This window comes from Homo sapiens, chromosome 7 (assembly GCF_000001405.40).
Source record: "Homo sapiens chromosome 7, GRCh38.p14 Primary Assembly".
In the NCBI taxonomy this organism is placed as follows: Eukaryota; Metazoa; Chordata; class Mammalia; order Primates; family Hominidae; genus Homo; species Homo sapiens.
This window is the reverse complement of record NC_000007.14, coordinates 25316875-25344269: the sequence shown is the minus strand read 5'-3', so window position 1 is coordinate 25344269 and position 27395 is coordinate 25316875. Positions and strand designations below refer to the sequence as shown.

The 27395-nt window shown below is 40.8% G+C and overlaps 3 long non-coding RNA genes across 3 annotated transcripts in view; all 3 read right to left on the bottom strand.

Annotated features, from left to right (window-relative positions):
• Positions 1-15559, bottom strand: part of LOC105375195 (uncharacterized) — a 29625-nt gene extending 14066 nt beyond the window's left edge. Inside the window, exons 1-2 of the long non-coding RNA XR_927105.2 lie at positions 14734-15559; positions 12805-12868 (exon numbers count right to left, since the gene is read on the bottom strand). This is a non-coding gene — a long non-coding RNA (uncharacterized LOC105375195). The remainder of the gene's footprint in view (positions 1-12804; positions 12869-14733) is intronic.
• LOC105375194 (uncharacterized) lies at positions 10556-11551 on the bottom strand. The gene is made up of 2 exons (XR_927104.2): positions 11121-11551; positions 10556-11000 (listed from the first exon to the last, which is right to left on the bottom strand). It is a non-coding gene; the product is annotated as an uncharacterized LOC105375194 (long non-coding RNA).
• Positions 15560-22349: 6790 nt separating the features above from the next.
• Positions 22350-22998, bottom strand: LOC105375193 (uncharacterized). The gene is made up of 2 exons (XR_927103.2): positions 22531-22998; positions 22350-22420 (listed from the first exon to the last, which is right to left on the bottom strand). It is a non-coding gene; the product is annotated as an uncharacterized LOC105375193 (long non-coding RNA).
• Between the last annotated feature and the right edge of the window lie 4397 nt (positions 22999-27395).

The window sequence follows — 27395 nt, the reverse complement described above, 5'->3', positions numbered from 1 at the left end:
TGACTGCATGGAACTTAGCTACACACCAGTGCAGATCGCGAAAGCTTTGGCTCACATCACTCACTCTTAAGACACTATACTTTGGGGACCCTTTGTCACAGTCACTCTAACTTTACAGTGAGCAAACGTTTTCTTGCCCCTTGGGGGCATTGAGAGAGAAAACTAAAGTCATCAGTTTGCCACTGTGACCAAGTTATATTTAATTCGAGATTAATCTGTGAAGTGCCTGACTGAGGGGGGAAAATGCCAACTCTATTTTTGCAATCAATATGGTGGGTCTGGTTCATGTTACAAAAGTCAGCCATAGATGTCTGATGCATATTTTAGGGGTCTCTATTACCTAACAAATATTTTTTTAAATCCTTTCCTGTTTTTATAATTCCTAGTGAAAGAATTATATGAGTTGGCAGAAAAAAAAAACATAAGAATTTTGCTCTGCATTGCATTCAAAAAAAATATTCCTACCCCTGAAACCTTGATAGTGGATATTAATTTAAATCATGTATGGCATTGTTAAAATATTTTCATGTTGATCTTCTTGACTACTCCTGACATTTTCTCCTTTAAAGAAACTTTACAATGGACCTTCTGGCATATAAGGGGCATTCAAACTTCCTTAACCCTTTTTGCCACATTTTTGTCGAGTTCCCAATCTGACATTACATTTGGACTCACACCTGGCTGCAGCTGACTTGAGAGAATAGGCCCTGGAAGTGTGGGCTGTGGGTGCCTGGTTCTTCCTAGGGCATGCCTTAGGGCTCCTCTTTTTAGATACACAAGCGCCTGAGGCCAGCGCTATCAATGCTCCTGTCAGCCTCCAAAAGGAAGCAGCTGCCTTTCAATCGTGGGCATGGGTAGCTCTATGGAGCCCACACCCAGATTGAGAAGGCATAGTCACCTCTCTCTTGGTCTTCCTAACCCCTACCCCTGTCCTAGAAAGCACCACCCCTCCCCTCTTCCTCCAAGGCATCTTCATAGAATCACGGATTAAATGAGTTCTCCTAGTTCCTTCTGATTTAAAATCTCACACTTTCATTATTTCTAATTGGATTATTTCTTCACTACAATGGGAAAATAAAAGTACTTTTATTTCCCATCAGTTCTGTCTACCTGAATCTCTCTCTTTCTCTGATGATTTACAACTCCAATTGTTCCCAACAGGATTGAAGGTGGCCGACTACTGTCTAACATACAGTGCATGTTTTTGTTCTTGTCTAACCACACAGGTCAGGTAATGTCCTTTTTTAAAATTAGTGACCTGTTGATCTGAAACCCATAATCTTTGTTACTTTCAAAAAATTTGTTATTATAAATTTAATCCCACCACACCTCCAACATGAGGAAAAAAGACTGTTTGGTCCAGTTTGATCCATTACATCTATTCAAGTCCAGAAATATATAATAGGGTGCCCTCCCAAACCATGTGGAAAATATTTCTCACTCTTTTTCAGTTTCTCAACTTTGCTCCAAGGATGGTCCGAGACTTTTCCATCATTGCCTAAGGAACTTAAAGTCTGTCACAGAAAATAACCTCCCACCACTATTCCTGGTTCAGAATCCACCTGTAATACTCATTTTAGTCTTTTGAAGATGAGACAATATTGAATTTTGTTCCAAAAGGCTATATCATAATAGGTGATATATATTTAATTATTTGAAATATAATTCTTAAAGATAGGAATATTTTCAAAGAAACAGCAATTAAGAATACCATTATTTTATTGCTTTGTAATAGTGAACAAGGATGTGAAAATTTTTTTTCTTTATCAACTCTGTCTTATAACAGTTCCTCATATGAAGACAAAATCTTTGGTTGACTTTTATCATGACAATTATCCTCTAAAAAATGAATTATTGGCTCTTACATAAGGAGCTAACACAACCTAAATCTCATATCATATTATACACTGACATGGTAAGTCTTAACTAGACAAGTAGTAGTATAATTTTTGACAGCATTTTGGATTGTGTTAAAAATCACGTAAATGAAGAGTTCTGGTTAATTTTTTTTTTTTTTTTTTTTTTTGAGACAGAGTCTCACTCTGTCACCCAGGCTGGAGTGCAGGGGCACTATCTCAGCTCACTGCAACCTCCGCCTCCCAGGTTAAAGCAATTCTTCTGCCTCAGCCTCCCAAGTAGCTGGGACTACAGGTGTGTGCCACCACACCCAGCTAATGTTTGTATTTTTAGTACAGACAAGGTTTCACCATATTGGCTAGGCTGGTCTCGAACTCCTGACCTCATGATCTGCCTGCCTTTGCCTCCCAGAGTGCTGGGATTACAGGCATGAGCCACCTTGCCCAACCTAATTTATTTTTAAGATCACCCTTTCCATGAAATCTAAACACCAACTTCGATCATAGAAATTTCCTCCTTTTTTCTGTCAGAGGCAAAAGTCAACACAGCTTCTCTCCCAGCTATAAAACAGAGAAGCCAATATATTTTTGAAGACCATAGTTAGTGATAGTCAAACATTGATTATAAATAGTGCAATAATTCAAACATTCACCTCCCTTCCATTGTTTGACCACAAAATGTTAAGTATAAATATGTGATGTTCCTTCTAGACAAATGAGACTCCAGGAAACAAAATTACTTTGTGATCAAACTAAAATCTATTTAGTAAAAAACCTTTAATAAACCTATGGTTTAAAATAAGTCTAAAGCAATGACATGATAAATGCTCTGCTGCAAACATAAACATTATAATCAAATAAAAAGGAGAAGTCAGCTCAATGCTCACATTGTTCTTAGATTCACCATTTACATGTTGAAACTCCATGCTGTAACTCAGAGTGGATAGGAATTGATAAATAAAAACAAAAGAAGCAACGTTGCTTTCCTTACTTCATATGGAGAGAAGGTTGTCTGACTCTACTCACATGGCATACCTGTATGTGTGTGCCCCTCCCACACACACAGCTAAATATAAACACTTCCCAAGTGACTCTGGGAGCTTATTTTAAATGAAAGCTTTAGAAAGATGTATTAAATAATTCATTCACTCTTCAGCAGAAAACTTCCGACTCTCCATTTTTAATGGTTAAAAGATCCCTATTTTTGAAGTCAACTGTGAACACTTGTGCTAGCTTCAGGTTAGTCTTAAAGGGAAACATTTGCTAAATCATGGTCACAGCATAAATCAGGTTGAGATCCAGCTCGATAATATGAGATCACTTAAATGATGGTTGCCTCAAGACTAGAGGTTGGATCAGGCAGTGTTTCCAAATTCCTAACAGCTATTAATTAGGATTCAGGCTACAAAATCAAAATTCCTGAAAATTCTCAGAAAGTTTTCAAATGAGAAACTATTCTTAAAATACTTGTGTCTGGCAAGGTGGCTCACTCCTGTAATCCCAACACTTTGGGAGGCCAATGCGGGTGGATCACTTGAGGTCAGGAGTTCGAGACCAGCCTGGCCAACATAGTGAAACCCTCTCTCTACTAAAAATACAGAAATTAGCCAGGCATAGTAGCGGACACCTGTAGTCCCAGCTACTTGGGAGGTTGAGGCAGGAGAATTGCTTGAACCTGGGAGATGGATGTTGTATTAAGTCGAGATCATGCCACTGCACTCCAGCCTGGGCGACAGATCAAGACTCCGTCTCAAAGAAAACAAAACAAAACAAAAAAATTGTAAAATTTCTCAAACATTTTACTCATCATCGTGCATATCTAAAAATTTGTTTAGTTAATAACAAATATTAACCTTAGCAGGATTTACGAAAAACTGCAGCCTATAGAAGATATTCAAACATGGAAAAACAGCCGCAAATATTATTGGGTAGTATTCAAATAACATTCGGATCTCCCAACAAAGTTGGGAGATAGCACTACACAGAGTCACAGTCTAAGCTGCTCATTTAAAGTCTTATTCTGCTTCCAAAACCCATTATCTCTTGGAATATCACTCATAGGATTTGTATAAAGTACACTATACATACAAATTTATTAATATTTGTTTTACTTGCAAGAATGAGTTACCATTAGCAGCAGAGAGGTTCATAAACACATATTCATAGTGGCCGTGGCTACAAGCAAGGCTGGCTCATTCATTGAATGGTGTTATTTCTCTCTTCTGTGCTTCTAACTAGGTTTCTAGAAATGCCAACCCAAACCTCACAATCCACGTGCTCATGTTTTCTGCTCCTGTGTTCAATATGATATCAGTGAATTGCTTCTATTCAGTCATATCTCTACGTTGATTGTTAAGCTTTAATTTGTCAGAGAATACCCTTTTTTCTTTTCTTCCCAATTTCTCGACAGGTTTTTCTGGGGATTCAAAAGACATGTTTCCTAAGAAGTATAGGGAAGGAATTTCCATATGGAAACACTAGATTTGGCAGAAGAAATAGGTCAGTAAAAAGCACAGAGTTTCACAATAGCATTTTGCTGTATTTTCAAATGATACCCAGCAAAAATACTAGGAACATGGAAAATGGCCCTGCAGCCATCTTTTCTCTTAAAACCTCACCACCAGCTTTCTACCCTCAGCTCAGTTAACCTCACATAGACACCATCTCCTTTCCCTGATACCAAATCCCCTAGGAGCTTAGCTTGGCTCCAGCTCAGCCCTGGCCACAAAACTGATTCTGGCAAGGCCAGCCCTAGAACAGGGTATTCAAACCATGCTCCATGGAACCCTCTGGGCTCAGAACACCTGAGGGGTCCCTGGAGGCAGGGCTAATCAGGCTCCCCTCTGCTTTCAACCATGGTAGCTCCGTGTCTGCCAGTTTAACATATCTGGCTTTTTCCAAAAAGTATTTGTTTGCTTAAAGGATCTGTTCTGTGATGAGTTAATGGGTGCAGCACACCAACATGGCACCTGTATACATATGTAACAAACCTGCACTTTGTGCACATGTACCCTAGAACTTAAAGTATAATTTTAAAAAAAAAGGATCCGTTCTCCTGCTAAAAATATAAACTGAAAAAATTTGAAAATTGCTGACTTAGCCTTGTGAGGCCTGACAAGCAATTTTCAAACTTTTTCAGTGTCTGCTGTTGTCTGTCCCAAAAGTACTACTGTCTGTCCCAACGGCGGGAGCGATCTCTGGGGAACCAGATCAGTTTCAGGCCAGGACCTAAAAATCTAGTGTAGATGGAACCACAGGAAAGTAGTTCCTGGACTTTAAAGGCCAGGCCAGCGTTACCTCCCCTCCACTCAAACCTGAGGACAAATACAGAATGACTGAGCCTTCAGAAGCCCCACATTGGTCTGAACCAGACATGCCCATCTTTGTAGCCAGGCATAACCTATCCGACCCACACCAGCAGACCAGGGACACAGTCAGACTGGAAAGACCTGCAAACCCTCACTCTAGACATATTTCTAAAGTTTTTTTTTTCCCCAAAGTGAGTTTCCAGTGACCCTGCAAACACCTCCACGGAGATTGCAAACTGGGGCAAACCTTTCTTTTTCTTCTTTTCCCTCCTTCCCCATCCCTTTCCCTGTCACCCCTTTTCTCATCTCCTTTCTCATCTCCTTCCTCCTCCCTCTACTTTCTTTCTTCTGTTGCTTCTTCCCCGCCCCTCTACAAAAAAAAAGAATCATTTCACTCTCTATCACAACAACTTTTGGTTTCTCCCCATTTTTGATCCCCCCAAGTTTGATCCCCCAGTTATGGATCACACTTCCCAAATCATCATCCAGGATGCAGTCTACTTTGTCAGCTGATCAACTTATCCTCTCTCCCTTCCTCCTTGGTCCCCATGACCTCAAAACTCCAGGCCCACCACACCAGTCACCGAACACATTGCATTTTCCCTCCCCCATTCCCCTGCTCAGGCTGAGCCACACCACAGCTCTCTCTGTTAAGATCAAGGCTCTGCTCACACATGCTTGAGCTGCCAGTGTTCGAAGTCACTGTCAATTTCTTTGAATGTGGAATGATCCATCACAACACAAAATACCCTGCCTTACATGTAGTATATTCTCAATACACAGAAGAAAGGAATTACACTGAATCCCCTACTCCCAAAGCACACATAATGCTCTTTATATAGCAGGCTTGGAAAATAGGTTATTGACTAGCTAACCAAATAGGAGAAGACCAAGGAAGCATCTCAGGATATTTATGTTGCCTTAGGTCTTAACTTCGAGGCATGAATGTTCTCATACAGAATAAACAGAAACAAAAAGACGCTGGATTTTATTCAAGTGGAAAAGATTTCCAGGTTTTATTCATAGCTTCACATATACCCATTTTATAAATTTTTCAACTCTTAAGCTTCACATTGTCAGAATAAATCTCAGCAAAAACCCTATAGGCCCCCAGCGTAGCAAATTCATAGATGGTGTTACTAACAGGAGCACAAGGTGTGGAACACTGAGTGTGTCATCAGGACTGTGTTCCCTTATTACATATCTTACCATCCTGACCCAGTGACTTGGAATGCTAGATCTCCAAAATGCCAAGTGACATGAAAAATTGACTCTAGTGAATACATTAAACTGCAGAATCATAAGCACTGAATAATTCAAAACAAAAACAGTCTTGTTGAATAAGCTGCAACTTTGATGATAAAGAGGGATAGAATGGACCAATGTTTAAGATTAAGGGCTTTGGAGTCAGATAAACCTACTGTGAAATCTTGGTAAGCTAGCTGTGCCACTACTGGCTGACTCAATTTCCTCCTCTGGAAAATAGGAGTAAGTACCTGGTAGGGCTGTCATAAAGATTAGACGAGATATCTCGTAAGCTGTGTGAAAACAGAGATCACGTCTTGTTTACAATCATTGCCCCAGTGCCTAGCAAAGTGCCTGACACAGCGGGTACTCAAGAAATTTCTGGAGATTCAGAAAAATATACAAATTTCTGAGAAGTGTTGGAAAGGAATTCCCACATGGAAACACTAGGTTTGACAGGAGAAACAAATAAGCAAAATAACCGAGTTTCATAATAGCATTTTGCTGTAATTTCAAATACCACCAAGCAAAACTACTAAGAAAGTGGAAACTTGACGAGTAGATGAAAAAAAATGGACAAATGAATGAATGAACCCCATAGTACAATGCTTGGTATATGTTAAGAACTTTATAAATGGAAGCTTTAAAAGTACATTTTAAATCAGGCCATGTTGGGCTGATGCCTGCATTTATTGTCTTATTGTAAGGTAAAAGGATTTGACTTTTTTTAGTTTAAGATTTGGTACTTTTAATTTTATTTTCAATTATATAAAAACATTATATAATTTCAAATAAACAATCATGTAACAAGTTACATTTATAAAGTCTTACTTCTAACCTGTCCTTTCTTCCCTCTTCCCTTTCTTCTCCCATAGGAAAACTGTTTTAAAAATTTTTTATGGTTTTTTTTTTTCAACTTTTATTTTAGAATCAGAGGGTACAGGTGCAGATTTGTTACAAAGGTATATTGCATGATGCTGAGGTTTGGGGTATGATTGAACTCATCACCTAGGTAGTGAGCACAGTACCCAAAATGTAGTTTTTCAGCCCTTGCCCGCATCCCTGTCTTCTCCCTCTAGTAGTTCCAGTGTTCCAGTGTCTATTGTTCTTCTCTTTATGTTCATGTGTATTCAGTGTTTTGCTCCCACTGTTAAGCAAGAACATGCAGTATTTGGGTTTTTTTGTTTCTGCTTTAGTTTGCTTAGGATAATGGCCTCCAGCTGCATACATGTTGCTGCAATGGACATAATTTTATTCTTTTTTATGACTGCATAGTATTCCATGGTATGTATGTACCAGACTGTATTTACATAATCCACCATGTTTGTTCCACTTCTTTGCTATTGTGAATAGTGCTGCAATGAACATACGAGTGTGCATGTCTTTGGGTAGACCAACTTATTTTCCTTTGAGTATATACCCAGTAATGGGATTGCTGGGTTAAAAGGTAGCGCATCTCTTAGTTTGTTGAGAAATCTCCAAATTGCTCTCCACAGTGGCTGGACTAATTTACATTCCCACCAAGGGTGTGCAAGTATCCCCTTTTTCCATGGCCTTGCCAACATCTGTTATTTTTTTACTTTATTAACAAAAGCCATTCTGACTGGTGTGAGATGGTATCTTATTGTGGTTTTGATTTGCATTTCTCTGATGATTAGTGATGTTGAGTATTTTTTTGTATGTTTATTGGCTGCTTGTATATCTTCTTTTGAGAAGTATCTGTTCATGTCCTTTGCCCACTTTTTATGGGGTTATTTGTTTTTTGCTTGCTGATTTAAGTTCCTTATACATTCTGGATATTAGAGCTTTACTGGATTCATAGTTTGTGAATGTTTTCTCCCATTCTGTATGTTGTCTGTTTACTTCCTTGATAATTTATCTTGCTGTGCAGAAGCTCTTTAGTTTAATTAGATCCCAGTTATCAATTTTTGGTTTTGTTGCAACTGCTTTTGAGAACTTAGACATAAATTCTTTGGCAAGGCCAATAGCAAGAAAGCTATTTCCTAGGTTTTCTTCTGGGATTTTTATAGTTTGAGTTAACCTTTAAATCGAGGTAAGCATGTCTGCAGGTTACTTCATAAGGAGCTTTTACCAAACTTTGCCACTGTATTTGAAGAGCATCAGGACTTTTCCTTGAACCTGCAGAGAGCTGGGACATTCTGAAGAATTCTGAGACAATTTACACTTAATTCAAAGTTCTGGAGGCCTATTTTCCAATTTCTTATTGCCCTATTACCAGGTCCTCAAGGGCTGCTCACTCTCCTCCCAGCGCCTTCTTGTAAGATGACAAGAGGATAAAGTGAGAGTCAAAGAACTTCTTTCTCTTCTGGAAAATTTTGGGTGATTTACTCTGCTCTTTTGCCAAATATTTATGGATCCAAATATTTACGGAACGCCTACTAAGTGATGAGCCTTGTAAATGCAATGGTCATCAAGGCCAAATTGCTGCCTCAGGCAAGGAGGTGACAATCCTGCTGAAGTAGGATTTGAGGGCATACCAAGTGCCTTGACATATATTAACCCCCACAATGTTCGCAGCAACCCAAGAAGTAGTTAGGCACTATTATTATTTTCATTTTGCAACTAGGGAAACTGAGGAACTTGTCCACAGCTGCAGAGCAAGTTCGTGACAGAGCTAGGGTTCAGGCTCAAGTATGAGGCTCCAGAGTCAGTCTTCCATGCCCTGAACGATAATCTATACCAACTCCTGCCTATTATCTACTGATGCAGAAAAAACACTGCAGACAATACAAGTTGCATTTGTTCACAATTCTGCATGTGAGAAATTGGAGCAGGAAATAGCAGAGATAGCTCATCTCTGTTCCACATCTGTAGTTCAGCTGGGATAACTCAAATGACTTGAGAGGGGCTATATGTTTGAAGCCTTTGTTCTCCTTCATGTGGCTTCTCCATGAGGCTAGCCTGGGTTTCCCCACAGCATGGTGGTCTACAGTTCCAAGGGGCAGTGTGCCAATTGCAAATGTGTATCAAGTTCTGCTTGCATCAAACTTGCAAACTGGCCAAAGCAAGTCACATGGGTCAAGCCCAAAATCAATATGGGAGAGGTAAGGGGTGAACACCAGGAATTATGGTTCACCTGGGGCCACCAATGGAATGTCTTACTACAGTAGACAAGTGGGACATAAAAGTGGGGTGAGAATAGCAGGTCTTGGCTTAGGGTTTCTGCTTCTTCATTTTCCTGTATTTCCTTTTACAAAGAATATGCTCCCTACAGGACAGGAGCTTAAAGCTAGCGCATATTACATTACAAATAGTGAAAAAGTGGCCATCCAGCCTCAGAGACAGTTGTCATTTTAGGAGACAAAGGGCAGTATCAATCGATTCACAAACTAAATTGGTTTTCACCTCATTTGATTCACCTGATTTAGATAAGCTGCAGAATGCTAAGTAAGTTAATGGAAAGTTTTCTCGAAAATAATAAATTTCCAGATTTCAAAGCAGACTAGGTCAGTTGTAATATTTACCATTAATAAGGTAGATAAAAATCTGCGCATTTAGCAAATTTGTCACTCAACACAGTGTGATTGGAGGACCAACATGTAAGGAGGAAATGGTAGATGCCAAGAAGTGAAACAAACAAACAATAAAACCAGATAAATAACAGGTTGTTAAGATACCAGTTTCTAAAACAGGAAAATCCTTATTTTCTGAGATGATAAATAAAGGCCTTAAAAAATGACCCAAGTATCATTTCTTGGATACTTGGAAAACAATAGAACCACCTAGAAATTTTGGTCCCATGAGGTCTAATTCTACTTCTTTTCCCATAAGATCCTGATGAATCATTTATTTTTCTACTGCTTTGTTTTTGCAGTTTTAAGTAATCACTGACTGGGAAAAAAAAAATCCCAACTTTTAATTCTAAAAGCAGTTTTGGGCCCAATTTCTTACCTAAAACCAAAGTTAACCATAGGGTAGCAGATAACTTAACCATATGTTTGGTTTTTCTCACACAGGTATTTTTTTATCATTGCTAGAAGCATCATTTTAGCATATGAACTAATACATATGTACATCTACCTACATTGTATATTTATGAGTATGGACTTGCATTTATTCTGTTCTGAAGTATAACTGAAGTCGCATGAGGTAATGTGAATCAAAGATGTAAACCAGGACACAGAATGATCTGTTTGTGTTTATAACTCACTTGCCCCAGTACAATCATGCAGAAATAAAAGTACACACCCTTCAAAATATGAAACAGTTGAGTTCAATTATGTTTACCCTCAGCCAGTTAATTAAAAAGAGTTCATTGATGATGTAATTATGTCACACTTGGGATTAAATACATCAGAGGGATAAGACAAAACGTAGCAGCCAGAAGTTCTGGGGCTGAAGGGAGATGTGATGGTATTTTGCAGAAAGCGTTGCCAGATCAGTACAAGAAACTCTCCACGTCAGTTTTAACCGCCAACTCTTGTAATGTGAGAGCCGGTCACCAGCAAGTTCATAGAAGATTATTCTTCACCAACAGAGTTCCCTTCAGAAACTGTGATCTGTTGTGATTTAAGACTCTTGAAATACAAAGGAAATGTGCAATTTGTGTAAAGCCTTGGACTCTGTACATCTGGAAATGGAGATGTGTCTAAGTTTACAATGCCAGTTTTCTACAGTTCAATTAAGAGGGGCAAAAAGTACACACAGGGTGAGGTGAGTCTTAAGGGTTTCCTGGTGTTCTCACACATACCTAGGCACAGCATTGTGGAAAAGTCTAAATCCACTGGAGACAGCACTGTAATTTATGTCTATTAGGAAGCGGGACAACCCTTGCTCTATTAGAGCAGTGTACGCCTTACAGAGCTTCCATGTATGTGACCTCATCTGATACACAGGCCCATGCTTGAAAATGGGCATTAGAATGTCCCCATTGTGAGGTAAAGAACACAGGATAAAAGAATTTTAAGTGACTTGTCCAAGGTCACACTCTAGTGAATGGCAGTGCTACAACTTGATTCCCAGTAACCATGGTAGATGGTGGTCTTTCTGCCGAACACAGAGCCTTTTCCTACCACCTCTAGCTCCTCGTGGTTCTTAAAAGTGTTCTCAAAAGATCATCCCTAGTCGGGCATGGTGGCTCATGCATGTAATCCCAGGACTTTGGGAGCCCAAGACAGGTAGATGGCTTGAAGTTGGGAGTTTGAGAGCAGCCTGGCCAACATGGTGAAATCCCGTCTCTACTAAAAATACAAAAATTAGCTGTGTGTGGTGGCCCGTGCCTGTAATCCCAGCTACTCAGGAGGCTGAGGGACAGGAATCCCTTGAACCCAGGAGAAGGAGGTTGCAGTGAGCCAAGATCTCATCACTGCACTCCAGCCTGGGCAAAAGAGTGAGACTCTGTCTCGAAAAAAAAAAAAAAAGAAGAAGAAAGAAAGAAAAGAAAAAAAGACTATCCTCATTTCTGAAAACTCTTGACTCCCATATTTATTCAGCTTCCCATATCCATGGAGTAGGGATAAGTATTCTCAGAGAGATGAAATACTTTAAACAATAACTTTATAATGCTGTATGTTCTACAGGAACGTTGAGGCAAGTTGAATTAGAGGGACTGACTACTCAAGTCTCTTATAGCTCTAAGATTCAGAGTCTTTGACCTCACTGGGTCAAAGTTTTCTCATCAATACAGAAGGTTTCAACTAAAAGATCTCTCAGGCCCATTCTGAGCCTAATATTCTATGATGATAGCTATAATCCCTAAAGTTTCTTTGAGTTATGATAGCTAGAACCTGCCACCTCTACTCCAGCCAGAAATAACTGCGATCAAGATGCTTTCCCTCTTGGGAAAAGCTCTCTAGAATTGGGCTTCTCAAGAGGAAAGGGAAGGGAGCCCACATTTCTAACTGCCCACCTCGCAAGTTGGCTTATAGCCCACTCAATGTGACCCTCACAACCGTCCTATTAGTCTCACATTAGAGATGAAGAAAAGGAGGTGCAGAGAAACTAACTACTTTGCAGAGGTCAGAAAGCCATTATCAGTAGAGCTAGGATTCAACCTGTTTGCCTTCAAAGCCCCTGTTCTCTTTCCATAGAGCTATTTGGCAACAGACAAGCTAAAGATCAGAAATACAAACAAAATGAAACACTTTCCCCTAAATAAAACAAACTGTAGCATGGATAGGTGAAATTATTAAAATATGAGTACTCACAGGATTGAAAGAGTGTAGATTTTGTGGTGCGATGTTTCCCAGCCTGTCCAGGGGAAATGCCGGGAAAAGGCATTATCTTTGAGGCCAGAGGCCAAGATTCTGGTCCTGGCTCTTTTGATATTTGAGGAAATGTATTTTTAGATGCCATGATCTAAATAAGTAGTAGTTCTGCTACAAGCTAGAAAATCATGACCACAATAGTAGCAGTTCGCATTCTTGGGTGCTTACCTTGCTCCAGGCTCTGTACGCGGCACTATACTTGGCATTGCCTCATCTTCACCCCATGATAACACTAACAAGAGAGCATATGATTATCCTCATTTTCCAGGTGAGAAAACCAAAGCACATAAAAGTGATGTGGCTTCCCCCAGCCTACATGTCAAGTGGCGGAGCTGGGGTGCAAACCCAGGAGACTGATTGCAGTGCCCAAGCACTTTGCCACCACGTACACGTACTATATATGTGGCTAGACAAATGAGCAAATCCAAAAAGCAGATTAGGGAAGAAAGACTCCCCTTATCAAACACCAAATGCCCTCAACCAAGGGAAAGTTCTACATGGTGCCATTACTGTATTATCCAACTTTCTTCAAAAACTGGCTCTCCCAGAGGTTGCACTTGGGTATCTGAACATTTTGGACAAAGTACTTGCTGTGACCACATACAGCTGCATTGAACAGAAACCCAACATCAGTGGTATAACTAAATCAGGGTCTGTTTTTCTTGCATACCAAGCACTCCAGGGCTGCACGGCTGCCACACTGACTTGAGGACCTATAGGATGGGTTTCTCTTGGTTTTCCAGGCTGCCACTCTTAAGTGCATTGCTTTCATCCTCTTACTTGAAAGATGGATGCTATAGTTCCTTACACCGTTCAATATGGAGTGATTGCCACGTGTAGCTATTTAAGCTTAAATTATTTTAATAAAATTAAATTAAAAATTCTGCTCCTCAGTCACACTAGCCACATTTAAAGTGCTCCATAGACACAGGGGCTAGTGGCTACTCTATGGACAGTGCCAATGGAGCACATTTCCATCATCGCAGAGAGTTCTATCAAACAGTGCTGCTCCGGACAGCACATCTGCAAAGGTAGCAGGAACATGAGGAAGGAGAGAAAGCAACTGAGTGCTGAGGCTGTTCCTTTTTAACAAGAAAACAATAACTTTCCTGGCATCCTCAACCAGTAGAATTTTGCTTTCATCTCATTGGTCAGAATTACAGCACTGACCACTCCTAAATATAAGAGAGCTTTGTTTTCTGGGCCTATTGCTGCCTCGAACTAAAATGGGCTCTGTGGGTAAGGCAGAGAGGGGAATATATAATTAGCCACATAAGTAGCTGTCTTTGCCAGCCTCAGCATCACGTGTAAGTCCAGCTTTAAATGATAGTTGGGTTTACCAAAACAGAAAGAACAAGCCAGGTCATAAACATCTGTCTTTGGACAGCTATGGGGCCCAGGGCATGCAAAGGCATTGAGTACATGATTGCTGCCACCTGGCAGCTCTTTTCATGGGTGAGTGGACAATGAAGCAGGAAAAGCAAAATCAAGAAAGAAGGTATCCGTGTCTAGGCTCTGTGTCTAGCCTGTGGGGCCTTCACCAGGTGGGAGTTCCAGGAAAACAGACTGCAGTGGGCAAAAGGAGTGGTCCTTGTGTGGGGAAAATGCTGCCTGTGGTTTGCCCTACTGAACAATGTGGGTAGGGCCACCCAGCAGTAAACTTAGCTCAAGCTACATGGGCAATGGCCACCTTCTCTGAGGTCACCATGTGGCCTGCTATTGCCATGATGAAAGACTTTCATAAGGAGATGAGCCTTTTAACTGGGCTGTGGCTGTGCGTGGCATAGGAAAATTTGCCTAATGGATCCAATGGCAGGGAGAAGGCTGCAGATAGCTTTCAGGGCCCCAGCAGGCAAAGCCCTAAACCCTTATAGTAACAAATTCAAGTTTGAGTGGTGTAAAGATGGGAGGTAACAAACATGTAGCAGCCTGTGTAGGCACAAAAGGAAAGTGTCTTGAGATTACAGCAAACAAAAGGTGGAGTCAATTGTTGGGAAAACACAAACTTTGTTTCAACAATTTGTCTCTGGCCAGTCTTACAGAAAGATAGAAAATAATTATACATAAACATATAAAGAAAAAAGACAACAAACTTACATCTTCCTCTTTATTGCTACTACTCCTTTGATTGACTTCAGTTTTTGAAAAATGCTTGTTTTTGCTGTTGGTGAAACAAAAGGATGACTTAGTTTAAAATGCATCAGAAGAAAGGCAGAACAATTTGTTTGCCCCCAAGTAATTTCCATGAGGAAAAGTCATGATGCCACTTAGTTCCTTCATCTCTAACAGATGCAAACCTATCCCCCAAAAGACATCTGGAGGCTGGAACACCAAACGGATAACACTGCATCGGTGGTCATATGGTGGCTATTTCCAAATGAGGTGATGGCAAAGAGAAGTTTGCATTTGGACAATAAAATCTATTGCTATCTAGAACTTTTAGTAAATAAATGCCCAGCCCTGAAAGAGTGACTCAGTGTGAGATGAGAGTTGGGGAGAAGAAAGGAAGGGTTTCTGCCAACCTCTAAAACTTGGAAAACATAAAATATTCAGCTGCCCTTAAAGAGAGAGAAGCCCCAGTACTAAAGCTTAGACCCATGGCCAAGGTCATAGTTGCTGAATAAGGTAGAGATTGATTCATTTATTCAGATGTATTAGTTTTCTGGGGCTGCCATAACAAATATCACATACTGTGTGACTTGAGCAAGAGAATTTTATTGTCTCATAGTTCTGCAGGCCAGAAGCCAAAAATCTCAAGCAAGGTGTTGGCAGGGCTGGTTCCCTCTAAGAGGCACTATAGAATCTGTTACATGCTTCCCTCCTAGCTTCTGGTAGTTTGCTGGCAATCTGGCATTGCTTGGCTTGTGGCAACATACCTCCAATCTTTACCTGGCATTCTCCCTGTGTCTGTGTCCAAATTTCCCCCTTTTATTTTATTTATTTTTTTTTTGAGATGGCGTCTCACTCTGTTGCCCAGGCTGGAGTGAAGTGGCATGATCTTGGCTCACTGTGGCTCACTGCATCCTCCGCCTCCTGGGTTCAAGTGATTCTCCTACCTCAGCCTCTCAAGTAGCTGGGATTATAGGCACGCGCCACCACGCCCAGCTAATATTTTTATTTTTAGTAGAGATGGGGTTTCACCATGTTGTCCAGGCTTGTCTCAAACTCCTGATCTTGAGTGATCCGCTCGCTTTGGCCTCCAAAAGTGCTGGGATTACAGGCGTGAGGCACTGGACCTGGCCCAAATTTCCCCCTTTTATAAGGACAACAATCATATTGGATTAGGGCCTACCTTAATGACCTCATCTTCACTTGATCATCTGCAAAGACCTTATTTCCAAGTAAGGTCACATTCACAGGTGCTGGGTATTAAGATTCCAGCCTCTTCTTGGGAGACACAGTTGAAATCATAACAACAGGTTACCCTAGCCAAAGAGTACTTCACTTCACTTTGTCACTCTGGATGGGGCTATGTTAAAGGAAACTTGATGGTGCCATTTTGTTCCTTGGAAATTACTAATATAGAAAACCAACCCCTCTAATTTTCTGGGTGTTTTCAAGCTTCAATCATTTTCTTTATAAAATTGAAAACGTATTGTTCCAACCTTGGATTCTGTGTTAGAAATTTCCAATGGCTTTTTCTACCTCCACCACTTTCTACCCATTCCAGATATCAAGATCTTGGATTTACCATCCGCTCCTGAAAGCACACTGGTTCAAAAGTTTAGTATCTTCCTTAATCCCACTCAAAAACTGGGGAGTCTCGAAACTCAATTCAAGGCAACAAACTTTTATCAAGAAGCCTCACTGTGCCAGATATTATTCTGGGGATTTAAATGCAAGCTCCATGAGTTGGCCATTTTCATACTGCTAAAAAGATGGTCCAGTATGGCGGTCATTGTTGACCCAATTGTTCTCTGCCTTCACGAGGGGATGAGCACGGAGAAAGCTAGGGAGCTCTGCTTTTAAACAAGTTGCTGCATTTTAGGGAAGCAACAGATTTAGGAAAGTTGGGTGATTTTATTTTACAGGCCCAGAAATTCCATATTCTCAACCCCAACCACATGTTAATATGCTTTTCCTTTCCTGCTACTCAAAGTCTGTTCCCAAGCGTTCTAGAACATAGATTGGAACTGCCTTCCCTTTACCATACTCTCTTCATTTCCCACCCTCCCCACCCCCGAAATAAATGACAGAAAAATATTCAAAATTCTTCTCTGTAAAGAAGCCAAAAGACCATGGTCAAATGAGTGTTTTAGGAGCTGGTGATTGTCACCTATCATTATTCTCCTTTCAAAGCTAAATAATCTCAATTTCTTCAAACTTTTTTCCTCATCTTATTTCATAACCTTCTGATTCTCTGTGTTGCTCTCCTGGACTCTATTTTAATTCTTTTAAATTTTAGAGTCAAAACCTGGATGCTTAATTGACGAAGCGCTGAACACATGTGAAGAATGCTGTAAAGAGCACTAATAGATGCTGTGAGATGGGGGGGGGTGGATGTGGAATACACACAGTGCAAGAATGTAAAATGCTTGAGAAATGAAACATCCGCCATAAGTACCACATAGCACTGGCGCTAATTGGACAGGTGTCTTCCAGAAACAGCGGCATGCTATAGAAGGTGCAGGAAATGTTAGCACTGATGTCTTCTCTGTTAGGAACAGCCTTGTGTCAGCAGGGTTTGGGCAGCTTACCAGAAGGATGTCGCCGGCATGACAGGTGAGCTCATGGTCCTCTACTTACAACATAATCACGTTTGTTATGTGACAGCGATTCGACTGCACGGTTCACAGGGAGGTTTGTCAGTCTCGTCGAGGGCTTTCCAACAAGCAACTTGGAAATGAGCGACGGTGAGAATGTGTCTGCGCTGATGCCATCCTGCTGCAAACTCTTTTGGCTCTGAGACGCCATCGCAGGCTTAAATTGCATTCTGCAAAGCCTTTTGTGTGCTACTTACTAGAGCCTCACTGCTTTCCAGGCCCACTTTCCTTGTGCACTCTGAGCCTTGTGGGGACTTATTTTCCTTCTCCCTGCGCCAGTGAGCCTAAGTCCACCTCTCCCGTCCCCAGCCCTCCACTGGGGAGCTGGCAGCGGAGGGCTGGGGATGAAGAACCTGCTGAAGATACCACTTCTTATCTTCACCTCCTCATTTATTTCCCAGGGTGTCTCTTCATCTTGCTAGTCTTATTCTAATTTCATCCTATCCTCAATACAAATGGACAAAAATGATTAAAATGCCATCTTCAAAGTCTACTCTTTTTATTTAAACTACCCCTAATTTATTTTCTATCTTTCTTCCTCTCTCCTATCTCCATCTTATCCCTACACTCCTACACCCACACTCCCCTCCCCCTCAACACACACACACACACACACACACACACACACACACACACACACACACACCCTCCCTTCTTCATGCAACCATTTCCTCCCTGATTTGGGTCCCAGATAAACAAAATCTACCTTGTTTTAATCTCCTGTAGCAATCCATTCAAATCTTATCCCTAAGCATCCAGCGTTTATTTTGTTATTGTAATCTAGACTGGGGAGTAGATTATCCAGACACATGCAAACTCTTCTTTCAAGCATTCTAATTCATAAGCCTCAGTGAATGAGGTGGATGAGGGAGGCGAAATCTTGGGTAATAACAGAAAATTTCATGGAAATCCCCAGACGTTGCAGGGAGCAAATACTAAGTATAATCAACTCAAGCAACAAACAGGATTTACTGGGAGAACAAAGGTTATGAGAAAGGCTGCACTTATTTTTCATGATACAAACAATTCTATTGACTCTTTAAGTTTTCATTCCAAGACCTTTCAATATCATTCAGTATTTGATGAAGATAAAATGTAACAGGGTCACATGTCATGTCACTTATGATAACTTAGCATTATGGTTGGTTGGGAAATAATGCCAGGCATATGAGGCTCACAAATTTGCTTGCTATAAATTCCCAGCACCTGTTTATAATGCACCTTTACTGAAAAAATAGCTCCAATAACATTATATAGCATGGGTCATGAATGCTATTAACCATCCCTATTGCATGTTACAAATTTAAAAGGTTTTTAACTTTACAGAGAATCCATAGGTTTATGAATTGAAAGCCACTAATATAAATCATCCTTGGTAATGAAAAGTGAAAAAAAAGACATAATATAATTTCTATTTGTCAAGGTATAATGATGTCACCATCCATTTATCCTCTGCACTTAAAGGTTGAAGCTCTTCAACAAATCTCTCCTCAGCCAAATACATCTGGTACCTTAATGGAGGCGACAGCACAGGCTTCTGATTAGTTCACACATCACTCACCAATTAGAATAGAAGGTAAAACTTTTTTTTCTTATCTTGAGCAATTCGTTAAAACAATAACCTTTAATGTAGTGACTAATAGTGGGAACATAAAACAATAACTGTGTTATAGCTTTAAAATGATCATTTTGAAGGGCACACTTATACACTGCTGGTGGGAATGTAAACTAGTACAACCTCCATGGAAAACAGTATAGAGATTTCTTTAAAAACTAAAAGTAGACCTACCTTTTGATCTAGCAATCTCACTACAGTGTATCTACACAAAGGAAACGAAGTCATTATATCAAAAAGACACCTGCACACGTATGTTTATTGCAACACAATTCACAATTGCAAAGATATGGAACCAACCTGAGTGTCCATTGACCAATACTATTCAGCCAGAAAAAAGAATAATACAATGTCTTTTGCAGCAACTTTAATGGAGCGGGAGGCCATTATTCTAAGTGAAGTAATCCAGGAATGGAAAACCAAATACTGTCTGTTCATATTTATAAGTGGTAGCTAAACTGTGGGTACACAAAATCATACAGAGTGGTATAATGGACACTGGAGACTCAGAAGGGGGAGGTGGGAGGTGGGTGAGAGATTTTTTTAAAACCACATATTGGGTACAACCTTCACTACTTGCATAACAGGTGAACTAAAATCTCAGACTTCACCACTCTACAGTTTATCCATGTAACCAAAAACTACTCGTACCCCAAAAACTATTGAAATTTAAAAATAAATTAAAAAATGATCTTTTTGAGTAGTTTATAAACTGCTTTGCTTCTAGAGGTGCTATTTTTATCTCAATCACTGCTTTAATTTATTGTTTCTTTAACCAATAATTCAATTCATCACTAAAAAGACAAAATATGGGGTAAGGGGCTCCTGGAAAACTTTTACCTTAAGGATAGCATATACTTATAGGGCTGTCATGAACAGTTGGGAAGGTTGTTCTCTGTCCAAGAAAAGGCCAAGCTGAAGGGCCAGTATGAGTTGAAATATAGCCATTAATCCAGTCAACAATCTTCAGGCACCGACATGTGTTCCATTTGCCAGGAGAATGGGGCACACGATATCACAGAGACCAGTGGTAGACTTTGTACTTATGGGGTTCTAGATATTGAGTAATCTTAGGGAAAGCTGTCTTAATTCTGCCTTTAAGGCTGCTAACTATCACAGAAGAATGGCTACTTGTTCTGGGGAATACAAGGCAGTTCTGATTCCTCACCTAGGGCTCAGTGATGGTTGATTGTGAATCAAACATGCCAAAGGGCCTGGGGAAGGACCTGGCATCCTTTAAGTTCCATCGGCTGGTGGAGAAGGTCACTCTTAGCGCTCCCCTGGGAGATCCATGTATTCTGGTTAGGAAAGTGTTTGAGAAGTGGTTGGGGTAAAAGTAGAGTCCAAGAACTTGAATCTTCAGAAAAAGGGAAATGTTACTCCAGACATTTGAAGGGAAAAATGGGAGTGTGGCTGGAAGAGGAGGAAGGAGAAGTTCTAAAAGGAAAACAGTTAGAAAAGAGAAGGGGGAGCAACATGGCAAATGCTTTATATAGTGCAATGCCACCCACTCCTATAATATCTCCCAAACATCAGTAAAGACTAGAAAAATCACGATACTTGGTATAATAGGGTTCTTGCAAAGAAACAAATACAATAAAGTGATTGAATTCTGCTTCCAGGTCAAGCTAGACCCAGCAAATGAGTCTGCAGGGACCAGAAAAACTCCAGGGATATGCCTTTGATTTTTCCAGTCATGAAATCTGCAGTCTGAAAGCAGTCTTAGAACAGGACAGACCCTACCCCAACATTTGCATTACACTCTCTTGTACTAAAGACAATTGCAATATAAAAATAAACCCTAAGAACTATACATGCACCGTCTCACTTACTCTTCTGAGCAATATCACCAGGCAGATGGAATTATTCATCCCATTTTGCAGCTGAGGAAACTCAGGCTTATGTGCCGAAGACACCAGCTATAATTTGCCAAATGTAATTTGCCCAGAGTGACACAGCTTATAAGAAGTAGAGCTGGAATTGGTATCCAGCACTTTCTGAATCTAGAAACCCCATTTTTTAAAATTGTAGTAAAATCTACATAACATAAAAGTCACCATGTTAACCATTTTTGAGTGTACAATTCATTGACATTTAGTACATTCACACTGTTTTGTCCCCATTACCACTATCTAGATCCAGAACCTTTTTGTCATCCCAAAGGAAACCCATACCCTTTAAGCAGCTCCCCTCCATTATCCCCTTCCCCAGCCCCTGGTAATCATTAATCTGCTTCCTATCCCTGCGGATTTGCAGAGGTCCTATCCTTACCCATGGGCTCTTTTGTACCCAGCACCGTGATGAAATACGGAAGAGGCCTTAGGGTGCTTGTAGCCATCCTGAACTGAATCAGAGGGACTAAGAGACAGAGCTGGGCAGAAAGAATATGAGGAGTAATGTGTCACAAGAGAGGCACTTCTGGTAGCTTTACTTGTAAACCTACATTTTCAATACCTCGTTCTCCTAGCAACATGCAGGTTAATTTAAGGATGTGAGGGAAGTAGAAAGTATCCATATCCTTAGGTTATGGAAAAGAATGATAAGATTCCCATGGATCTAGTTTGGCAAGTCATGGAGGTGAAGAAATGGAAAAATGATTAAGTGAATGTGAACACACATAGAAAGGCTTGCGAGGGAAAAGGGATGCCCTCCAGGCTATGGAAAATTATTCATGAAAGTGAGAACTTTTAAGGAACACACATGATTTAAAAAATGTTGTTTCAAAACATCATTTTGCTTCCGATACTGTTTGGCTGTCTTAAAACTCAGAATCCACTGCCCTCCTGGCTGCAGGAGGGGCACAGGCTGTGTGCTGGTGGTGTGAGCAAGCAAGGGCACCAGACACTCGGTGGGCAGCCCCCTAAATACAACAAGATGAGAAGGAGCTGCAGCCAGGGCTTTTGACTCTTCACAATTTGCAAAGCTACTGGAATTTTAAAAGTGAAAAAATTCTCTCTCTCTCTCTCTCTCTCTCTCTCTCTCTGCCCCCTCCCCCCACCTCCCCAACTCCCCCAGGTTCATGGATGGCTTTTGTGATGGTCATCTCCACTGGGACCGTTATTCAGGGCACTCCAGGAGTTGCTGTATATAAGTTTGTGTAAAGTTGAAACATAAACAGACATCTTATTCTTGACCCAAGTAAAAAGCTCAATGCTTACTTGATTCTCAAAAACTCTGGTTCCCTTACTTTTTCCCCAGGTTCTACTCTCAGTTCAAACTAAGCTACATTCTTAGGACACAGATTTTCAGCTTCTTTAAGAGAATACAACCCTCTCATTCCACCTTCCGTCTCTTTGTTATCTTCTGCCCACCACACACAAATCCCCGGGTCTCGCATGTCTTTGGTCCCTTCAGCTGTGGCTGCCTGCCCTCTAATGCTGCAAATCAGCCTAGGAACAGCTTCCACCTAGGAGTGAGAGAAGAGAGGAGCATCAGTTCCAGATGGGGTGCAGGAAGTTGGGAGGGAGAAAAGAAAAGGCAGCTTTTCTATGTGGTTACTTAGGACTCAGTGCTTACCTCTGCACAGGCAGGAGAGTGGACTTGACGGTGGCAGGGTCCTGTGTGGCACGTAAGCAGTCTCCTGCCAGGGAAGACCTGAATGCCCAGTGACAAAGCTCGCACTCCTCCTGCATTACACTATCATGTGTGCCCTATGACCCTGAGCCTTGTTCACGGTGCTTGGCTCTGCTTGCCCCCTTTGCTCTGCCAGCTCTCATACACACTTTCTTTATTTCTGTAGTGCATTTACAGTCTGCAAACAAGGATTCATCATGGGAAACTGTTTTTAAAGTCAGAAGATCTTGATTCAAGTCCAATTCTGCCCGTTACCATGTGACCTTGAGTGAATCTTGTAATCTCTCTTTTAAAAATACAGACAGCAACACTTGCCCCCTCCATTTACGGCATTACAAGCATCTGATGGGATCACACATTTGAAAATATATTGTAAAACATACATGAATATATGGTGTCTAGTTATCAAGACTCCAGGTCCTGTGCCTTCCAATGAAGTTGTGATTTCCTAACCAATATTAATTAATTAACTAATTTAAAAAAATAAACAATGGCATCTCCTTCTAAACTAGTTTTTAAGCCAAACTATTTACTTTATCCCTTTGCTGTAAATAAAATTTTAAATGCTAACTTCAGTATGCCAAATAATTAAACGTAGGCAATTCTTTTCAGATGTCTGTGTCTTATTAACCTTATGCTAAGAACCAAATTCTGGCTTATCTATGATGCTATGTGAGAAAAACCACACCCAACATGGAATTTGTATGGTTAGACAGAAACTGGAATGAGTGTATCTCTTAGAGGGTTAAAGCAGGCTAAAGGCTGCAAAACAACTAAGACTGAAAAGATTGCAAAAAAAAAAGATGTTTATACCGCTAAAGAGAACAAACTTCTTGAGCCTTCTGGAAGTGCCTTTTTATATACAATTTGTATGCTAATTATAAATCATTTGAATATATTAGATAAAGCAGTTTCCCTCAGGACCTAGTGTTTGGTAAAATTTGCCCTTGAAAAACACAAAGTCAGTGAAGTATTATAAAAGCCAAAGTCTTCGCAGTGGTCTCAAGAGCTTACAAAATCTGCCCCTACGTGCCCTGCAATGTTCTTCCTCATTGGGCCAGTTCCAGCCACATCAGCCTCCCTGGTGCTCCTTGAACAGATTCACCTGGAGCCTTGGCACTGGCTGTTTCCTCTGCTTGGGGTGCTCTATCCATGGACACCCACATGGCTGAATGCTTCCTTTCCTTCAAGTCCTTGCCCATACCCCTTCTCAACCAGGCCTACTCTGAACACACTTGTTGAATTTGCAGCTCTCCATCCTATATTCCATTTGTCTGTTCAATTTTCCATAGTACTTATCACCTTCTAACATACTAGATGATATTTCCTTATTAAATGTCTCTCTCCTTGGTAGAACATAAGCTCCACAGGGCAGAGACTTTTGTCTGTACAGTTTGCTACTGTACCCCAGCACCTAGAACAGTACATAGTACGTAGACACTCAATAAATTGTTTTGAATAAAAAGATGCTAAAAACCTTTGGTGTTTATAACATGGGACTTCAGAGAACTATCTGGAAAGAGAGGTTTCCAGGGACATTACAAAGATCTTCTAGTAAGAAAATGAAAAACAACAGAACAGAAAAATAATGGGACAGAAAAAATAGAACAGAGAAAATGAAAAACTATTATGGAGACAAAGAAATGGAAGCAGAACTGAGGAGGAAGATAAAACTGAGTCTCCTTTCCCTCATGGAACCCAAGAAGGCTTTCTCCACATGCTCTATCAAGACCAAGTTCAAGGTTGGTCTTTTTCAGTTTTGCTTTCTTCGAGGCTGACTGGCAAGGAAGTGAGAGTAGAGCTAAAAAGATCTAAAGACTTCTGGGTTGCCTGTTGATTTCTGGAGGTCAGGGAGTGGAGTAAATTGGCCAAGAGCCCAAAAGGGACCCAGTAGTGAAAGCCAGACTGGAGAAAATTCCCTCATCATCATCAAGAGGAGGGCACCTTCACCCCAAAACAGAAAAGGATGGGAGAGAGAAGGGACTGGCTGGCTCTTTGAAACAGTCACAATGTTCATAGTAAACACCTTTGGGTTAATTCAGCTCATTAATATGAATCCGATCCCACGGCGGTTGCAAAGAAAGGTTTGGTAGAAGAAGGAAAGGTACAGAAAGGGGGACTGTAACTGACATTCCTTTTTTAACTCATTCCTAGCAGAATTGGATATTCAAAGTCTTTATCTGGACCCCTGTGTTCTTCATGAGTGGACGCAGAAGTAGTGCTTTTTAAACAATCTATAATTCAGCATGCCAATGCACAGGTGAATCTAGTTGATAAAACTTGAGTATACCCTGATCTAAAATGTAAGCATGACCTTGGAGAAAAATGAAGGAATTAGGTTCCCTCACTTCAAATTGTATAAAGTTCCTTCTTAATCATTAAGATATATGTTAACTTCTTATTTTTCTCTATAAACCTAATATATTTCCCAAAGCATCCTAATTCATTTCCTTGGGGAGGGAAGAAAAGAGGGCAGGAAGAAGGACAGGGAAAAGGGAAAGAAGGATAAAGAAGCAAGGAAAGAAGGAAGGAAAGAAAGGAAAAATATCACCTATTTTCTTCCCCTGAAATACCATTTTCCCTTGGCCAGCTTCCTGCAGGGGTATGAAGCCAACTCTGCAGCAACCTGGCTTCTGCCACAGCCTAGAGCAGAGCTTCAAAAAGGAATTGAAACTGTTAGGAAGACTCTATATCAGTTATATTTCTCAAAAGAGAATTTAGCAAGATTCACAGACTCAGACTCTGCTAGTTACTTAGCAACTGCCCTCAGGTCAAAAAATGATCCCAAATAGTTGGGGCATGAGGCTGATATTTTTTTTGATCAAACACAGCAAGAGACATGCTGTTTCCTTATTTCTTGATATTCTCTGGTCTCATCCACTCCCAATAAGGTAAGCTTAATGCTGTTACACGTTATGGAAGTAGGTTTTCAAAAAGGAATTGTGTTACTATTGATTGCCGGCCAATGAAATTCTCATTGCTCACTACAAACCTCTAAGATGTTTCTTATGTCACTGCTCTGGGTGACATGGTGGACACTATGTTCTTTCGAGAAAGGCCACACATTGTAATATAGTGGCTGAAGTTTTTATCTTTTTCTATTAAGCAGGAGTTATTTCATTTCAACAAGCTCCCCTTGGAAAGAGAACATGACAAGTTAAACAACAGTCTGTCCTGGGCTGTTGGGCGCTCCTGTCACAGTAACTAGAGTTTCTTCAAGCACAGGCCTCTCTGTAGATTAAAACATATATCTTAAGAGCCCATGTTAAAGTTAATGCAAAAGTTCAGAGGGGCAAAATAATTTAAATGTGCCCAAGTGGTAGCAATAACATCTCTAAAATCTCAGCAGTGAATTATGGATATGTGGAATATTAAAAATGCAAAGCTAACTCAATTTGCATTTGCAATGCCACCTAGCTGTTACTGGGGAAGAGGAAATTGCTTTCTGCTGAATTCAAGGGCACACTACTTAGTGCTGTATTTAAGTCAAGGGGAAAAATTACTCATTTTTATTCTACCACTTAACTTGTGCTTATGTAATCTGTCTGGCACCGGAGTCAGTTGTTTGATATTATTTTCAATCACAGAAAGAGAATATGTAATTCAATCATCACACCTTTATTTTCACTTGCTTGGCAATCTCGCAGAGCCTTATTACCACCAGTAAATCCTAGTCTGTCATCAATCAGCGCTCAGCTGCCGGACTGTTCCCGACAGATCGCACCAACCATCAGTATTATTATTTTTATTTTGGTGAACGGGTCTGAGGGGAGGGCAGAGCCACATTTGTGCTATCAAAGGGGGCAGATAATGCATTCCTTTACCACAGACCTCCCCACCTTTTGCCATCTCTAGGCCACCTTTCCCCAGCAGGTAAATTTTCATGTATGCAAAGTAGCCACTAATATATGGCAAAGCAGAAACCCACTCTCAACTGTGTATCTTCTCCCACCTTGTTCTTCCTCTTTTCCAACTTGTCCTTCCTCCAACTGCTCCTTTTTGTCTTCCCTGCACACTCACCTTAGTCCATCCCTGGTAAATGAACAGGCATTGCCTACACTGCCCATTGGGCCATGACACTGACGTTACCTGCCACCACTCCTTGGCAAAGAGACCCTTAAAGAGCAGGCAGAAGAGGCAGCTATTAAAGTTTCTTATGATGGAAACCCAAAAAGAAAGACAATGTGAAGGACTGGAATCTGGTAAAGAGGGAATCAGAGGAAGGCACAAATAATGTGGGGTCCCTGGTTACAGGGCAAAGGAGAGGCCACACAGCTAGAGGGCCAGGTTGGCCAGAAACTCTGTTTCAGAGAAGACTCCATGCAGTTGGTCCATTTCTCCCTGATCTCTGTGATTATGTGTGATGGCCGTGTTGATCATAAGTTGCTTTGTTTCCCTTTCTTCACATTTCCTTGTATTGATCACTTTATCGGGGATCAGTTTTCTTTTTCACTTATCCCGAATGGAGGTGATATGATCTACTGCAGTGGATCTTAAACCGCAGCGTTGTAAGAACTGTGTAGGCCTCACACTCAGAAATTCTGACTCATTAGGTCTGGGGAGGAGCCTGAGGATCTGCATTTTTAATAAGAACTCCTACCCATGCCCACCGAGGGGTTCTATGTGCAGTTCAGCATTACTCTTTGTAAAAATGGCTTTTTTTTTTAAGACAGAGCCTCACCCTGTTGCCCAGGCTGGAGTGCAGTGGCGCAATCTTGGCTCACTGCATCCTCAGCCTCCTCGGTTCAAGCAATTCTCCTTCCTCAGCCTCCCGAGTAGCTAGGATTACAGGCATGCACCACCATGCC